Below are 17024 nucleotides of genomic sequence, written 5' to 3'. Positions count from 1 at the left end.
GAATTGATTTCTCTCTGGGAAAGTTTATTGCTTATTTTCTAGTTTCACAAGTGCTATTTGTCTATATTTTCCCCTTTAAAACTCAAAATGAGTTTTGCTTGTTGATGGTGGGGCTGCATCCAGAGTTTGGATTGGACCAGACCACCCAATCACTGCCCTTCATTTTGCCGCTATGGACACAGCCCAGATGCTTGTTGGCTGGTCTCCATCTTTTAGCACTGGAAGACCATATTCAGCAGGCATGGCATCCCTGAGCCTGAAGTCGTAGCTCCTAATGGAGATACTCTGGTGGGGGCAGGAAGGGAGATTCCATCACATGTCACAATGCAAAATTTAAACAGACTCACCATTAGAGATCTCCTCCCTGTGGGTACTCTGTGGGGCCTCATCTCCCTCCTTGGCCTCAACACAGTCTTTCAATTCCCAGCTCTTAGCCTGGGCCTTTTGGCAGTGGGCCTAAGGCCATTGTGCTTTCTGGGCTCAACAAAGACTTGGAAGTTGGTTCCACAGTGACAGGTCTCCCAAGCCTGCCCCCTTGCAGGCACCAGTTCACCTGCCATCGGGTGGGTACTGGAGTGTGTCCACCAGGGCCATGGGGTTTGAGCTCATTCCTTCCCCATGGCTTAGGTTCCTAGACCAGCCTAACCCATAGAAGAGACTCAGCAAACACCTGCAGCCTGAACGAGTGAACAGGCTGAGCCTGTTGGTGGTGAGGAAAAGAGGAGAAGCAGAGCTGTGGGGAGGGAGAGTGGGGAGCAATTGAGTCCTAACCATTAATATTCGCAACCTAGAGAAGGCAGCCACACAGTCCCCCTTGGGAGAGCCTCTAGGGAGCACTGCTGTCTAACCTGCAAAAATAGAAAAATAATTTTCTTTTCAAAAATGCCACACTACCCAATTGATTTGCTAATGGGTTCTGGCAGCCTTTGTATTAGTCTAAGCAGCCATTCAGACCACCATTGACAATGTCAAACTTATAAATTGCTCTTGTTGAAATCTGTACATCAAAATTAAATAGGCAACACCCGGTAAGCTGGGCCTCACCCCCACCCCACCCCCACCACCCCCCAACATCAGGAAGGCCAGGAGTGCCTCTAGGTGGCCTGGGCTGTGTAGCCAGGGAACAGGCCTTCCTCCAGAATGCCCAAAGACATTCTGAAGTCTCTGGAAGAAAAGGTCAAGGAATGAGGCCGGAACCTGGAAGGCTTTGGACGTAAGGCTAAATCTGACACATAGACACGTTTCTTAAAGTTTTCACCATTAAAACTCCAGAGCTTTCATTTTGCTTGAAAACTCAGAAGATCTGGCCACTGTGACCTGCATTCTCTCAAGGCAACAATCAGCTAGAACTGTCCTCTTTAAACAATCTCTTTACTCATCAGTTTACCAAACAATTGCTTTCCTGCCAGCCACTTCCCCCTCCTGCCTTACCTGCCTGGCCCCAATTAGCCTGAGTTTGAGCTCCCTCAGTGCTAGGGTCTTAGGCTTTGGAGACAGAAGACCTTGGCTTCAAATGACGTTGGAAAGGCTACATCCTTTCTTCACGTGTTACTTGTCTCATCTGTAAAATGGAAATATTTTTGTAATCTTGAAGTACTTTGTTGATTAATGGATAGATTATCTCCAGGATCCTGCTTTGCAGGAGCTAACCAGCTTTGAGCTGTGAGCCGGGAATCTGACAGGTGTTAGGAGTAAGTGTTCTTCCTTTACTCTCGGAGAGTCCTAGTGTTTATGCTCCCCAGGCCCCACCTAAAACTAAGCCAGTGTTTCTAACAAATAATTGCTATTCATTATATATATAATTATATATTAATGATTATAATAGCTAACCATTTTGGAGAGCCTCATATGTGCCAGATACAGTCCTCTCACATTGTGTCCATTATCTGTGCTCCCCTCCTCCAGCCCGATATCATTTGGGGTAATTATTCCCAGTTTGTCGCTAAGTGGTTAGGGTTCAGGAGGGTAAGTAACCTGCCCAAGGTCAAATACTCTGAAGAAGCCAGTGCCAAAGCATTCTGCCCCCCTTCTTGCCTCCTTCCTCCCGACGCTTGATCATCTAGAATAAGACCATTTTCCATGAACTGTTGGGCTCTGGAGTGACACTTGTTTCCCCCCAGCAGAAATGACACCTTTGAAGTAAAATGTCTCAGTTCCCAGCTCCACAGGAAAAGCCTATTTGGGGGCCCATTATGACTGTATTCTAGAAGTCGTCAACTCAGATGCTTAAATATAGCATTTCTTCAGTGCTCAGCCGCCGGCAGCAGTGAAAACATTTTGAAGGGCAAATAAATATTTATGTATGAGAGCTCTTTGTGCACAGTAAATGTTTGATTCTGTTGCCCCAATTCCCTGGGCCGAGAGTAAATTATGGAGCCCAAAAGAGAGTGTGGGTGAGAATATGCTTTCAGCGCCTACCTTCATCCAGCAAGGCTATATCAAGCATCTGCCACGGATGTGCCAGGCACTGGGCTCTGCCAGGCACTGGGCTCTGCAGCAGTGGTAACAGGCTATAAAGTGCTTCTCTGTGCCTGGAGACCTATACAGTGCTTTGCACCAATTATCTTACTTAATTGCCACAGCCTTGTGAGATAGTTATCATTAGCTTCACGTTACGGAGGAGAACCAGCTGTGTGTTCCTATTTCTAAGTGATCTGTTGTATAAAGACATGGGCCAAGAATGTAATATTCTGACATATTCTCCCTTTCCCCACGAAACTGTAGGCTCATTGAGGAGTAATGGATGATCATAGTAGCTAAGATGCTGTTAAGTCCTTCCTGGGTGGTAGGCCCTTTACTAAGCACTTCCTATTTCTTTGAATCCTCACAACGGCACTGATGAGATGGGCATAGTAAATTGCTCAGAAATAGCTGCTAAGTCAATGCATGAAGGTCGCACTGATTTGCTTGCAGCCATGGGCGTGGAAGAAGCATCCATTTGGGTTATACTGACCAAGAATCTCTCTCCATGACCAAACTCTAGTCAGGATCCTTTGAGTCCTGTTCCCAACTAGGCCTTGACTTTGGGACTTTCATGTATAATTTTTGCAAGAATCCTACTAAGCCTGTTTAGCCGGAATCCTCCACCCTTGATATCTGGTCAAGGTCCTCATCCTCCACAATCCCCCAGGTGATGTCTGGTCTCCCCGACCCGTCCTCAGCAAAAACCTTGTTAGGTGGCTTTAGCCAGAACCCCCTTCACCCCTGATGTGTGTTCTTGGTCATTTTCCATCTGCTGACGCCCTCCCTGCTCTTTGGCTATAAACCCCCACCTGCCCACACTGTATTCAGAGTTGAGCCCAATCTCTCTCCCCGACTGCGAAACCTCATTGCTGTGGTCCCACACCCATCGCAATGGTCCTGAATAAAAGGGTCATGAATAACTTTTATCTTTAACAAGGCCTAATCTCTGGAAAAAGTACAAGAGCAGACAGCCTCCAATTGGGTCAGCCCATTCATGGGTTTGTCCACTCTCTTTGTTTCCTCTCACTTTTCCTTTTCTCACTACCCTTGCCCTTTCTTTCTTCTTCATGGTAGTTCCTTTTGCCTTTTGTTCTCTCCCTCTCTGTCTTTTTTTTTTTTTTTTAAATCCCTTTGCCTTCTCCCCTCTTTTTTTTTTTTTTTTTTTTGGCATTTTCCCTTCTTCTCTGAGATTGTGGGGAAATGTTGGAGGGGACTTCTGAGGGTGACAGGGCCGGGTGCCTGGTGCAGAATGCAGCCACTTGGGGGAAGTAATACCAGATGTGACGCTGGTGCCAACAATCAGCCTGAAATGTAAACGTGAGCTGAGCTCCAGTAATAAACCTCTTACAGCTGGAGCACCAGGAATGCCAGAAAAGAGGAACGAGGCCTTGCTTCTTAACTCAGGATGGATCAAAATCTGGTCTTTGCATATATTTATGCCCACAGCATCCTATTTTGCGTTTTCAGAAAGGTGATCCGTCTTCTCCCAAGTTTATTGGAGGCGGTTTTCCAACACCACTTTTAAAATATTACAGGCGGCCCCATGATGCATGGCTTCGTTTATAACCCACAGCACTTGCGATCTTTGGGGGAATATTTCTCATTAAATCTATTTCCTAACTCTTTGTAGCTGCCTCCTACTTCCCCAGGAAACTCTAGAAGATTCAAGACAGGCTTGAGCAGCCAGGCGAGGTGGGGATCCAGGGCGGTAAGCATGGATGCTAGGGATGAGGGAAGTCAGAGTGACCTTCCCACTTTGTTTCTCTGGGGTGGCACCATATATTTCTTACATCCCTAACAGCCCTGTGCATCAAAGACCTTAAATCATGGGTGTCTTTACTCTGCATCTTTCTTTGGCAGAGGTCTCTCTTCATGAGACAGTTTTATAGGGATAGACAGAGACAGGAACAGATGAGCCTTGGCCTGGATCAGGCTTTGGTCAGCAGGAACCTCCTTATTATGAAGAGGGTTCCCTTCTAGAAGGAGTAGGGCAGGAGCTCATTTCTTGGATTTTCCCATCAAATGCTGCAACTCCTTCCTATTGTCAAAAGCAACATTTTTCTTACTAATAAAAATTGTTTATAGCTGGGAATCAGTTGTTGCTGTAACCAGTGTTGACATTAAGTCACTATGCCTTAAATACTAGGCCAAGTATTTGTAAGGGTTTCACAAGAACCTTCGTGCTTTGACCATTTGAAAGAAAACACTGGTGCTAGTCTCTTGCAGAATGCTGGCAGAAAAACATAGCCTGAACCCACCTCCCCCACCCAGTGGCTGTCCTTGCCTGATCTTCTACCTGGGGCCAATTTTTCTCCTTGTGACTGTTATCTCCTGAGATAAAGGGACAGAACCTTATGTATAATATTCCCTTTCCCTGCCCCCCATGGCTTAGATGTGCTGTATGCTGAATCTATAAGATGCACTATAACTCACTGAAATTAAATAGATTTGATGGGTTTTGTTTTGTTTCGTGTTTTGAGACAGTCTTGCTCTGTCGCCCAGGCTGGAGTGCAGTGGTGCAATCTTGGCTCACTGCAACCTCCACCTCCCAGGTTCAAGCAATTCTCCTGCCTCATCCTCCTGAGTAGCCGGGATTACAGGCAGCTGTCACCATGCCTGGCTAATTTTCATATTTTTAGTAGAGATGGGATTTCACCATGTTGCCAGGCTGGTCTCCAACTCCTGACCTCAAGTAATCCACCAGCCTTGGCCTCCCAAAGTGCTGGGATTACAGGCATGAGCCACTGTGCCTGGCTCAGGTTTGGTGTTTGTTTTCATATTTATATATCGAATTGTGAAGGCTAGTATGCAACTTATGGAATCCGACACTGTGCTGAGCCATGAGAGGCAGATAAATCATTTATATACTGGGCAATTGCAACTGCCATTTTGGTCAGCGTATGTGCAGGGTGAGTCTGAGGTAAAAACATGAATCTGCTCTTCAGACCTACTTTCACATCCTTACGTGGTAATGTTTTGAGGCAGGTATTTTTTTGTAAAATGGGTTTTCCCCCTCTTTATTATGTTTTGTAACAGAAGTTCAGCAAACTATGGCCTGGGAAACTGGCCCCTAGGCCAAGTCTGGCCCACAGAATGTTTCTGTAAATAAAGTTTTATCGAAACAGAGTTCATTCATTTGGTACTATCAATGGCTGCTTTTTTCCTAGAAACAGAATTGAGTGGCAACAGAGACTGTGTATGTTGCCCACAAAGGCTAAAGTATTGACTGGCCTTCTAAGAAAACGTTTCTCTTCCTCTGCTCTATATATTAACATGCACATATGACTATGCAGAGCTTGTTTTGTTCCACTGGGGCTCTTATAATAAAATACCATAGACTGGGTGACTTAGAACTTCAGAAACTTACTCTTCACAGTTCTGGAGGTTAGAAGTGTAAGATCAAAGCTCCAGCGGATTTGGTGTCTGTTGAGGGTGTTTCCTGGATCATAGAAGGTGCCTTCCAGCTACTTCCTCACATGGAGGAAGGGACAAGGCAGCTCTCTGGGGTCCCTTTTATAAGGGCACAATTTCATTCATGAGCATTCCTCCCTCATGACCTAATCACCTCCCAAACTCCCCACCTCTAAATAGCATCACATTAGTGATTAGGCCTCTACAGATGAATTTGGGCGGGGTGGGGTGGGAAATAAATATTTAGACCACAGCAGACTGTATGTATATTCAAAGCCATCCAATGCTGTATTTTTTCAGTGGTTTAAGGAACTTTCAAGGGTAATTTTAACTAGCTGTGACCTCACCTTACACACTGGTTTCTGAATCTAAACCTAGAAAAGATTCATCTTGGCCAGGCATGGTGGCTCACACCTGTAATCCCAGCACTTTGGGAGGCTGAGGTGGGTGGATCACTTGAGTCCAGGACTTTGAGACCATCCTGAGTAACATAGTGAGAGCCCATTTCTACAAAAAATTAGCTGGGTGTGGTGGCGTGTGTCTGTTGTCCTAGCTACTAGGGAGGATGAGGTGGGAGAATCACCTGAGCCCAGGAAGTTGAGGCTGCAGTGAGCCGTAATCTCGCGCCATGCACTCTAGCCTGGGCGACACAGCGAGCCCCTGCCTCAAAAAAAACAAGACAAAAAATTCATTTTTACTGTTGTATATTTGACAGTTGTTCTTTGGGTCTTTTGTCTACATGGGTCAGCTGTTTTTGGCCTTGTGTATCTAGTCACAGCACACACTTTTGAAAGATCTCTGTAAGGAATCTTTCTCTGGAGGATAGGCTGGCTATAATAAGAGTGAAACCATCTCTGTGATACGTTCCCAGGACTGAGATTTCATGGAACCACATGTGTATGACATACCACAGATATGAACTTCATGGAGCCCCCAGTTGCTTTGAATTTCTCATGGTCTCATTCCTCCTGGACTGTCTGCAAAGACGCTGAACGGTCCCCATGACTGCAGGATTCTCTGTGGCCCATGCTCAGTGACACTTACTGGAAGGGAAGCTTAGCTTAACCAAATCCAGTCAGGTTTGCCTGGAGATAAGAGCCTCAGAACACCCGCAGGTGAAACTCCGTTCACCCCACAGGTCAGCTTGTTCAGGGGTGAGCTGACCTGACTGTTAGAGTCCCCAGACACACTCATGAAAAATACAGATGCTCATATGCCCCAGGAAGTTCTGATCCTGGAGAGGTGGGGTGGGCATAGGCATCTGTGTTTTTAACGACCTCTGCAGAAGAGCCTGAAGGGCAGCCAGGTGTGGGAACTGCTAAGCTAGTCCACACTCCTCCCTTCATAGCTCAGGAAGACACACCCAAAGTTGACTCAGCAGATGACCAGAAAGGACCAAATCCCAGGCCCTGACAATTAGTCCCCACCAATGATTTCCAAACCCACTTTAGCAGAGCCCTGCGGTGCTCACAGATGTCTTTGACACTATCCTGGGTAAGAGAATAACCCGGGGGCAGCCCTAATAACAGAGTTCTGGCCTTCTTCATGGTTAATCAGAATCCATGTATATGCTTTAAATATTGGGGTCACATTAGACTTTGTTCCTAGAGCAAGAGCTGCTGAGACAAACAACTGCTAATGGGGGAAAAAAATACAATTGAAATTCTCAGCCCTGCATCTTGCAGTGAAATCAATCCACCAAAGCTTCCTTTTCTTAAAAATCTCCAGAAAGGGAAAATTCCACAACTTACACCTGCCTCAGAAGGACTTGCAAAGTGTCTCCCGACCTCACAATCATTTCTCTCAGGTGCTGAGAGGGAGTTTCTACCTGCAGCCTCACATCCATCTGCAGCCCCCTCAGGCTCCGGCTCTGTTCTCTGTATGCACCTAAATCACATGACACCTAAACCCTGCCTGTTCCAACGGAGCCTCTTCCTTCGCTGAGTCTCCTCTGAACCCAAAAATCCACAGCCCCCGTTTGCTGTGGGGGCTTCTGTTGCCCTTCTGTTGCCATGACTATTAATAGTGGGCAAGCACCCACTGTGTGCCAGGCAGTGCATCAGGCCCCGGACAAGGCAGGGGTGTTGCTGGGGTGGCGCGTCAGGTCCGGCAGAGAAGGGAAAGTGTGGCACACAGTCATTCACTGCCCTTCCTGTGGGTGGCAGTTTTCAGGATAATAATAAAAACAACTTGGCCAGGCATGGTGGCTCAGGCCTGTAATCCCAGCACTTTGGGAGGCTGAGGTGGGCGGATCACTTGAGGTCAGGAGTTTGAGACCAGCCTGGCCAACATGGCGAGACCCCCATCTCTACTAAAAATACAAAAATTAGCCGGGTGTGGTGGTGCATGCCTGTCATCCCAGCTTCTCAGGAGGCTGAGGCAGGAGAGTTTTGAACCCAGGAGACAGAGGTTGCAGTGAGCCAAGATCGAGATTGTACCACTGCACTCCAGCCTGAGTGACATAGCAAGACTCCATCTCAAAAAAGAAAAAAACAAAACAACAACAACAAAAAAACTACCTTTCAGGCTCTCCTTCCCCATTATTGCCCAGCCCCAGCCCTTGGGTCTGCATCCAGCCTCAGGCCCTGCATGTGGGGCACATTCTTCCAGGAGGATTCCACCAAGCCAGCTCAGTGTATGAAGAACCAGGCCCCCACTTTTCACACTGGCAGCCCTGGTGCCTCTGTCAGCCAGGACCCAGGTGGCCCTGCCCCTGACCTGGGCACAGCTGTGGGGCAGAAATCCTCAAGGCCCACCACCCCAGCCTGTTTTTTTTCTTCCTATGCCTCCTTTTTGGGCCACAGTCCCATGCAACATCTCTGCACTGCCACCTCCTGGCCAAAGAGAGCAGTGAGCAGGGGCCTGGGGGAGTGGAGTCCAGGCACCAGGGCGGCAGACGGTGGCTCTCCCTGCAGCTCCCGAGGGACCCAGGGAACATCCCAGAGTGCAGTCTGCAGAGATGACACCCACAGGCCAGGGAAAGGTGATGGGCAGCATCAGCCCAAATGTTCCCCCAGAAAAGTCCCCAGCAGAGGCAAGCATCTGTTTTTTCTCTCGTTGCATTTCTCTTTCAGCCTTTTAGTTTATATTGCCCTTGGTTTCTGTTTAAATGTTTAAATACTTGCATATTTATGTGTGTGTGTGTAGGATCTAATTCCTTTTGTGCAGTGTATGTTTCTTACTTCCATAGACAATACTGACTTTCTCATGCAGATCAAAACAAAGGGGACACCACAATATATAGAAACTAGAAAATGCTAGTGTGAGACATAATAGTAATAATAACAATACACCCCCATACATTCACCATTTAATTGTGAAATCTTTTCTCTTTGAAAAAAAGACTGAGCTAATTTTTAGTTCCAGAAACCTGTTCTCTATCATCAGATGGAGCTGATAAAAGGCTTTGCAAATGGAGAGGTGTTCGAAGGGGAGGGGAGCAGCTGTGTGTTCCAGTAGGTCAAGTTGAAGACACCCTTTCTAAACCCTGGAGTAACTGAGCAAAGAGTAGGGAAGGGGTGAGAATGAGGGATGAAGGCTGGGCTAGGGGGTGAGCGTGTGTCCGGTGTCGAAAGACCCCAGGCAGGCCGCAGAGGGGATTGTGGACCCACAAGCCCCCAGATGCCTGTCCTCTGATGATTCAGGGCCTGTGCTTGCAAATCAGCCCAGAAACCTGCAGAAGATGCTGGAGCCAGGTGGTCCCTGCCATCACCAAGCCTCTCCCCTGGATGTCACTGTTGTGCTGCGTGAACAAGGCTGGGGAACACTATGGGACCATGAGAATCCCTCCCTAACAGCCGCTGCCCCTTGGGGCTTGGGGAGGCACAGTAGGAAAAGGCAGGGCCCAGGCTATCTGCAGGCATTTGGGAGGTTGGGGCCCAATGTCTCCAGCCCAATGCTGCTGCCCCATGGTAGCATCTGTGGGTGATACTAAGGCTCTCTGGTCCTGTAGGTCCTGCAGCAGGACTGATTCTCTATTACAAAGAGGCTGGGGAGGCTGAGAGGACTGGGGTCAACTGAGTCCCCTCCCTTGGTCTCTCAGGCCCTTGGATAGGTTCTCAAATCAGCAGCCATAAGAAAGAGCTAAAGGGTCAACGTGTATAGTGATTGCAAGCACAGACACAAGTCCCAATCCCAGCCTCATTGAAAACCAGCCAGGTAAACTCAGGGAAATTGTTTCATCTCAGAGCCTCACTGCTACCACCTACATTTGATGTGACTCCCCCCTAGCATTGTCGTAAGAATTAAATAAGAATACAGCACATAAAACTTAGTACATAGAGTGCGGCTATTATTGTAACAAGGAATTTAGAAACAGTACGCGAGAAACTTTCCAAGTTCATAGCCTGGGAGGAAAATCTTGTTTCTAATCCAATCATGACATTAAGCACAAGCCCAAAGATTAGAACAAATCAAGAGATATTTGGCCCAGGCCTAGTGGAACCACTGCCCTCTTTCTTTGTACATGGTTTTGGGTTTCCCTAAGACGCTGGCTGCCTCTTCACAGAGCCACATATGCATGCGTTTTGTTGCACGTGTTGGGAGGAGGAAACACCCGAGTTTAGCCCTAAAGCAGTCGGGATTGTTTTCTCTCTCTCAGTGTTGATATATTTGGAATAACTGAAAGCAGACCTAGAACATATTAAAAGTATAGCATGTGGAGAGGGTTCCAGGCGGAGACACAGAACCTCTGTGGAGAGGCCAGGCCAGAATGTGTGATCATCTCTCTTGCCTAAGACCGGATACTGGGCCGGGCGTGGTGGCTCATGCCTGTAATCCCGGCACTTTGGGAGGCTGAGGTAGGCAGATCATAAGGTCAGGAGTTCAAGACAAGCCTGGCCAACATGGTGAAACCCTGTCTCTACTAAAAATACAAAAATTAGCCAGGCATGGTGGCACATGCCTGTAGTCCCAGCTACTTGGGAAGCTGAGGCAGGAGAATCACTTGAACCTGGGAGGTGGAGGTTGCAGTGAGCATTGCGCCACTGCACATCAGCTTGGGTAACAGAGTGAGACTTTGTCTCAAAAAAAAAAAAATGTGGATACCAATCACGAAGCTTTTGATCTTCCTTTGGTTTTCTTTTCTGGAATGCAGTTTTGCATGGTCAGTCATTAAAGCAACTCCCTGATATGTTATCAGTGTGATGTGACTTTGTGGGGCATGAGCTAGCAGGGTCCCATTCCCTTTCCAGAAGTTGAGTGTCAGTGTTGCCAATCTTCTGAGCTGAACAGGTACCACCCTGGGGCCTCTCCTTCCCTCCTTCCTCTTCCTTTCCTCGGGTGTCACAGGTCAGTCCCAGTTGGGGTCCTGATACTCATCTCTATTTCATCAGCAACCTGTGGACAACTGGAGGTACAGACCCTTCACGAGGTTGGCATGGGTTTATTGAATGGAGCCACTGTTCTTACCTCAGAGTAAGTTAGGGATACAACTGAGAGGCCCATTTGATATTAAAGAGCCATCAAGTCACCATACGAAGTAGCTTAGGGGATGGCAAGCCCACACTTGCTCACGACTTTCACCCATAGACAATGGACAAACTGGGAGGTGGAAGGTACCCTTTTAGTTTTGTTATACAGTTGAATTTTCTGTTTTTAGGGGACAGTTTTGGCATCTTAACTCCATATTCACTGACTCAACCCATACTTCCTCTTTCAGGTCATTTTTTGGGCCTACTACCCCAAAAGAGGTGTTATGTCTTTGCTGTAGGGTAACAGGGACAGCAGAGGCAAGTATGGCATGCTTCGGTGGGGGAAAGGTAAATTGAAAAATGAGAAGGGAAGCAGTGCCCAAGCAGCTGCAAAATTGTTCAAAACCATTTTCTCAACTGGGTTAATTGTTCTTCCCCATGGTGCAGAGATACCTACGCCTTCAGAAGTCTGCATTTCTTTATTGCAAGGAGCAGCCTATTAAGAGAGACAGATTGTCTACCAGGAGTGGCTGACTCTCCACCTCTCTTCCCTTTGTCTCTCTCTCACTCCTCTCCTGCTAACACCCTGCCCCACAAGACACAGCTATCTGACTCTCCCCGCCCCATTGGTATTAGCTTTATCACTGGGAAGGGTTGTCAGCGATAGGAGGGGTGGGCAGACTCAAACCAGCTCTGCTTGAAGAGTAAGAATAATTACAAAATCTCGGGCCGTTATCCAATTACTTTGACATGTGGCCATTCTAGGGAGTTCTAACTGGATTAAGTTCATTATAAAAAGATTAGTCCTAGGATGGGGACTGTGCATAACAAAGTGAACCTTCAGAATGTGCGCTGCTGGGCCACCAAGGACTGTGGGGGTAAAACCGAGTGAATGGCTTTGTTTATTGAATTACTGCTTAGGGATTCGCCAAGGAGTTTTGTTCAGATAGAGTTTGTGACTTAAAGCAACTGTCAGCAGTTTCCTGTTTGTTTTCCTTTTTTCAACACTATTCTTCAATGCCATTGTAGTTACTGTCAAAGCACTAATTCAAGGTGTTTGTCCCTAATGTTCTGTGTGAGCATGGAGGTGAGATTATTGATCAAAATGGATCTGAGACACAGGGAGCTCATATATTATTCATAAACTGTGTATATGTGCACATATAGAGAGAGTGTGTGTTCACTCATATAATACCTTGCACTTGCATAATGCTTCCTAGCTTTACAAAGCACTTTCATATTTCTCATTTGACCTACACAGCAATGCTTTGGGATAAATAGGCATTATTATACTGATTTTACAGATAATGAAACTGAGACTTAGAGAAGCTAATCTAGAGTCACCCAGCTAGATTGTCCCAGAACTGAGATTACTACTCAGATTTGCTGTTCTTAGCCTAGCATGAATTCAGTTTACACATACATTTTAAACACAAAGTACGTTCAGTTCATGGCAGTTGACTATTTGGATTCACCAGCTGGTTGAGATCAGTTTTCTTTCTCTATTCCCTATGAGAATTGTATCAGATATCAGTTTTGAACAACTAATTTAGTTGCTAAGTACTTTTTTCTCCTTCTTGAACTCGGGAAAATTTTACATGCAGACAACACCATGGAGCTGTTCTTTGGAAGTTATCCCAAACCCTTCTTCTGGTGTATTCACTACAGTTTGTCCTACTTTAGGAAAACTGATCATCATTTCATCTTCCTAGAATAAGTGCCCCAGCTCCTTTTAGGATCCTGGGACATGGATATTGGTGTCAGTGGAAAGATGTAAATTACCAATCAATCTTTTATATTAATAATTTATCTTAGCACCTTACTTTCTTGGACCTCAAACTCCCCCTAGGTGAACTGGTAAGAATTAAAACTCTAAACTGATAAATCTGAGCTCTAAATGTTTGTTAGGATCAGCAGTGCCTCAGCTTCCTCCCCCTAGCCCACTGCAGGCATTGTTAATGGATCATCACACACTTTTCTACTTAGCCTAGGCTTGGACTTCCACAAATCTCAAAACAAATCGCCAAGCAGCCATCAGCAGTCAGAAATTGGCTAGTAAGATGGTCTCTATTTATCATTCTGATCCTAGGCTCTGGTCACCCCCCACAAACTCCAGAGGCCCTGAAAGGCAAAACCAGACCAGCCAATGTCTAATGCCATCTTTATGGCCCATCTGGTGATCAGCAATTCAAGATACCAGGAAAGGCCAAGGGGAATGTGGAATGAATAAGTACATATATTCGTAGGATAGTTACAGTAAAGTTTAGGGCAGAAGCCAGTTTGCTAAAACAGAGAGGTTTCTGTGTAAGCAGAAATCTAGAATGCTGTAGACTAATGATTCTGTCTACCCCTCTTCCCCAGAAAGAAATGTGCATAGATACATTTTGTACAAATTTTTACTTCTTAAAGAATATCTAGCTTATAGAACAAGGTTAAAGACAATATCTACTGTTGAAGTATAGTCGAGATTCTCATTTGCAAATAATAGAATGCTAATTCAAAATGGCTTTTTTAATAAAGAAAGGAAACTTGCTCATAAAACTAAAAATTCAAAGAGTCCAGGCAAGGCTGGATCTAGTGGCTCAATAATGTCATTGAGACTGTTTTTACATGGTGGCTCCCAGCATTTTCATTTACCCTCTTCAGCATGGAGTTTGGCAGATAAAGGAGCTTCTTTTTCTAATAGTTCCTGTAAAGGTTCTGGAGCTTATTCTCATTGGCCCAGCTTGGTCATGTGCCCATCCCTGAACAAGTCACTGCTTCTGGGGGATGTACTGTTCAGATTGGCCAGGCCTGGGTCATGTGACCTCCCTGGAGACTAGCCTGGCCCCACTCCTCCCTTTCATCCCGAACAGCAACACTGAAAAAGATGCAGATGTGGTGGCTGGAGGAAAGGTGACAGCCTCTCAATTGGCTGCTTGCTATGTCCCAGACCCAGTGCTGGGTGCTAAAAGGAGATGTTACAGACGGGTCCAAAGCTTAACAGTCTGTAGACCTCTTTCATGTAAATAATCTTATTTGACCCTGACAAACACCATGAGGTAGGTATTTTATTATCATGATTATACAGACCAGGAAAGTTATGTTCAGAGGGGCTCTGAAATTCTCTCAAATAGACCTGGTGCTTAACCTTCCTTTGGTCCAACTCCAGATTCTGCACCCTTTCGATGAGCCTTTTATCATGATCCGTGAGAATTTTAAGGTGCAGAGTTTAATTTCCTCCTTCAGTTACCTGAAAGGGCAAGTCAGAGACTGGATTTCCATTTCTCCACTTGGGAAGAAGTCTTGAACCCCAAATGTATGATAAGGAGAATTGTATCCCCTACTGTTCTTCAATACTTAGGTACGGTGCAGAAATAATATCAGCTATAGGTCCTTGAACATGTACTATGTACCAGACACTGCACTAAGCACTTTACAAAGAATGTCCCATTTCATACTAAAAACAACCCTATGAAATAGTATGTTTTACCCCGTTAGATGCTGAGAAAAGGAGGTGTGGGAAGGATGAAATGACCTAACCTAGGGAGTATATAGAGCCAGAGTTTGAACTCAGCTCTGACTTCGATTCTGCTGTTCTTCCTGCCGAGAGATGGATGGCCCTAATATCTTTGATTTCAGCCACAGACCAATTAGAATTCAATAGGACGCTGGGTAGACAGGAGACAAGAAAGTCATCAATCCCAAACTTTGTGGAAGCCCCCCAAAAAGTGGAACAAAATTAAATTTTAGACAAATTGGTGGTGATTTAAGAGACCTCAAAATAAAATAAGGAGAAACAAATAAGCTACAGGTTACAACAGGAATATTGTCTTTCAAAGGTTTCAAAAGTTAAAATTGACTAGGTTTTCATTGTCCAAGTCCTGTGGCCTGGTTTGCTTTTATCCGAGAGCCTTGTGTTTCCCTTGCTTCTATAACTCAGGAATGACAACAGTCCTGGGGGATCCTGAGTGGTTGCATCTGGAGAAACGGGCATGCCAGCCAGAGCTTCACTTAAACACAGCACGCACCCTCCTCCTGGAAACCCTGTCCCTTGCCACATCTGGTTGCTGCAGATTGGCATTTTCACATTGGTTATGATTTTCAGGGTATACATCTCATGACAACACTGGCAGCTTTCAATTTATTAGGCATATTAGCAAATAAAACTGTCCCGAAAAGCCCAGATTTAATATCTGGAAGATTCATTTCAGGACTGATTTAATGCAACCTGCATAGTGGTTTATTTCACATCTCCAAGTTGGGACTAAATCATCCTTGTCTTGTTGATACCCATAATACAATGGTTGGTATTTGCAAAATAGACCAGGCTATAAAAGAATCTGAAGACTCTAGTTGCTCTAAATGTTTTTTACTTAAAAAAAAAGATAAAGATACTTTATAATTTTATGTGTCTAGGAGATTTAGTTTTTTTTCTTCTTTGCTCTCAGCGATGTCATTTAAATAGAAATAATAGGAAGTATGTTCAGAGATGTGGTTCTTCTTAACTGTTGATTTGCAGCTATGGGGAATCACCTTCTTTCTCTGGAATCACCACACTGCACAAAGAACTAGTGACATCTGGCATTCAATATGACAAACTATAGAAGCACCATCCAGAAACAATTCATCGTTTCAGTATACTTGTTCTTAAGCCCTGGGCTGCTATCATACTTTTTCAAGATGAAGACTTGAACAGAGCAAACCTGTTATTACCAAACCAGCTAATGGCACTTACCAAGGGCTATTACCCTCTGTTAGCATTTATCACCCGCATCTCATTTGACACTTATCATTTATTGCCTGACAGTTTTATTTATCTTTTCTTTTATCCTCCCCGACTGTATTACCATCTGCTGAAAGCCTGGGCCCTAGAGTTAGCCCAGTTCAATTCAATCCCATCTCTGCTACTTACTACCTAGGTAACCACAGCTGTAGAACTTAACCGCTAATCTCAGTTGGCTCATTTTTAAAACAGGCATAAAAATAGGATAATAGGATTAAATTAAGTAATATATACAAAATCTTTAACACAGTGCCAGGCACGTGGAAAGTGTTCAATAACATGATAGCCACTGGCATTAAGATTAAGACAAGGATAATAACACTGATAGCATAAAATGTGGTCTTAAATGTTGCTTTCCATTTCATGTACCAAAGTCCCTTGCATAAAAGTAGATAATGTGCATCTGTGGAAAGTCTTGATTATAGAGCATCTATGAAAAAGAGCCATTTGTTTGCATTTTAAGATTGTGTACATCTGAAAGTGAACTTGTGACCCATCGAGGTGCTTAAGGAAGCTTATTTTATAGGAGAACTCTTAAAGTTGCTGAATGTGTTTACAATGCTTGGTTTTTCTAGAAACTTGTCTTCCTCTATCTTGTTTGCATTATTAAGTTGCTTAGCTAAGCCTTCCTTTATAGAATCTACTTAGATCATCTTAAGCCTTTCTGAGTTAGCAAAAATTCCAAACTTCTGCAGTGTAAGTTTTGCTGTATTTGTGGGATCTATTAAGCTCACCAGACAGCAGTTCCAGCCAGAATTCCTTGTCCAGTATACATCCGTGCTCTTCCCTATTACGTGTTATAATGTAGTGATTCAGAGGCCTGATGACGCTGGCTTCCTTTGGTAAAATGTGCCCGAGCCCAGCGGTGATACCTGAAGGCCCTTCCTCATCAATCATAGCGCTGACCCACAGCGCAGCTACGTAAGTTGCCCAGGGGGTTTGTATTTGACCTGGTGCTGCTTTGTCTGCATTGG

The 17024-nt window shown here is 45.2% G+C and overlaps 1 protein-coding gene across 3 annotated transcripts in view, besides 1 other annotated feature; it reads left to right on the top strand.

The window, feature by feature from the left end:
* The window catches only part of SLIT3 (slit guidance ligand 3), a 639400-nt gene that overhangs the window by 344982 nt on the left and 277394 nt on the right, over positions 1-17024 (top strand). The gene's annotated exons all lie outside the window — the stretch shown is intronic.
* Positions 5337-5386: a silencer, noted in NCBI's record as "silent region_16600". NCBI's record gives its function as "represses an Ori minimal core promoter by ATAC-STARR-seq in GM12878 lymphoblastoid cells {active_cell/tissue: GM12878}" and the evidence as "EXISTENCE:reporter gene assay evidence [ECO:0000049][PMID:35858748]".

Source organism: Homo sapiens, chromosome 5 (genome assembly GCF_000001405.40).
Source record: "Homo sapiens chromosome 5, GRCh38.p14 Primary Assembly".
Taxonomy (NCBI): Eukaryota; Metazoa; Chordata; class Mammalia; order Primates; family Hominidae; genus Homo; species Homo sapiens.
This window is presented reverse-complemented; position numbering and strand designations above follow the sequence as displayed.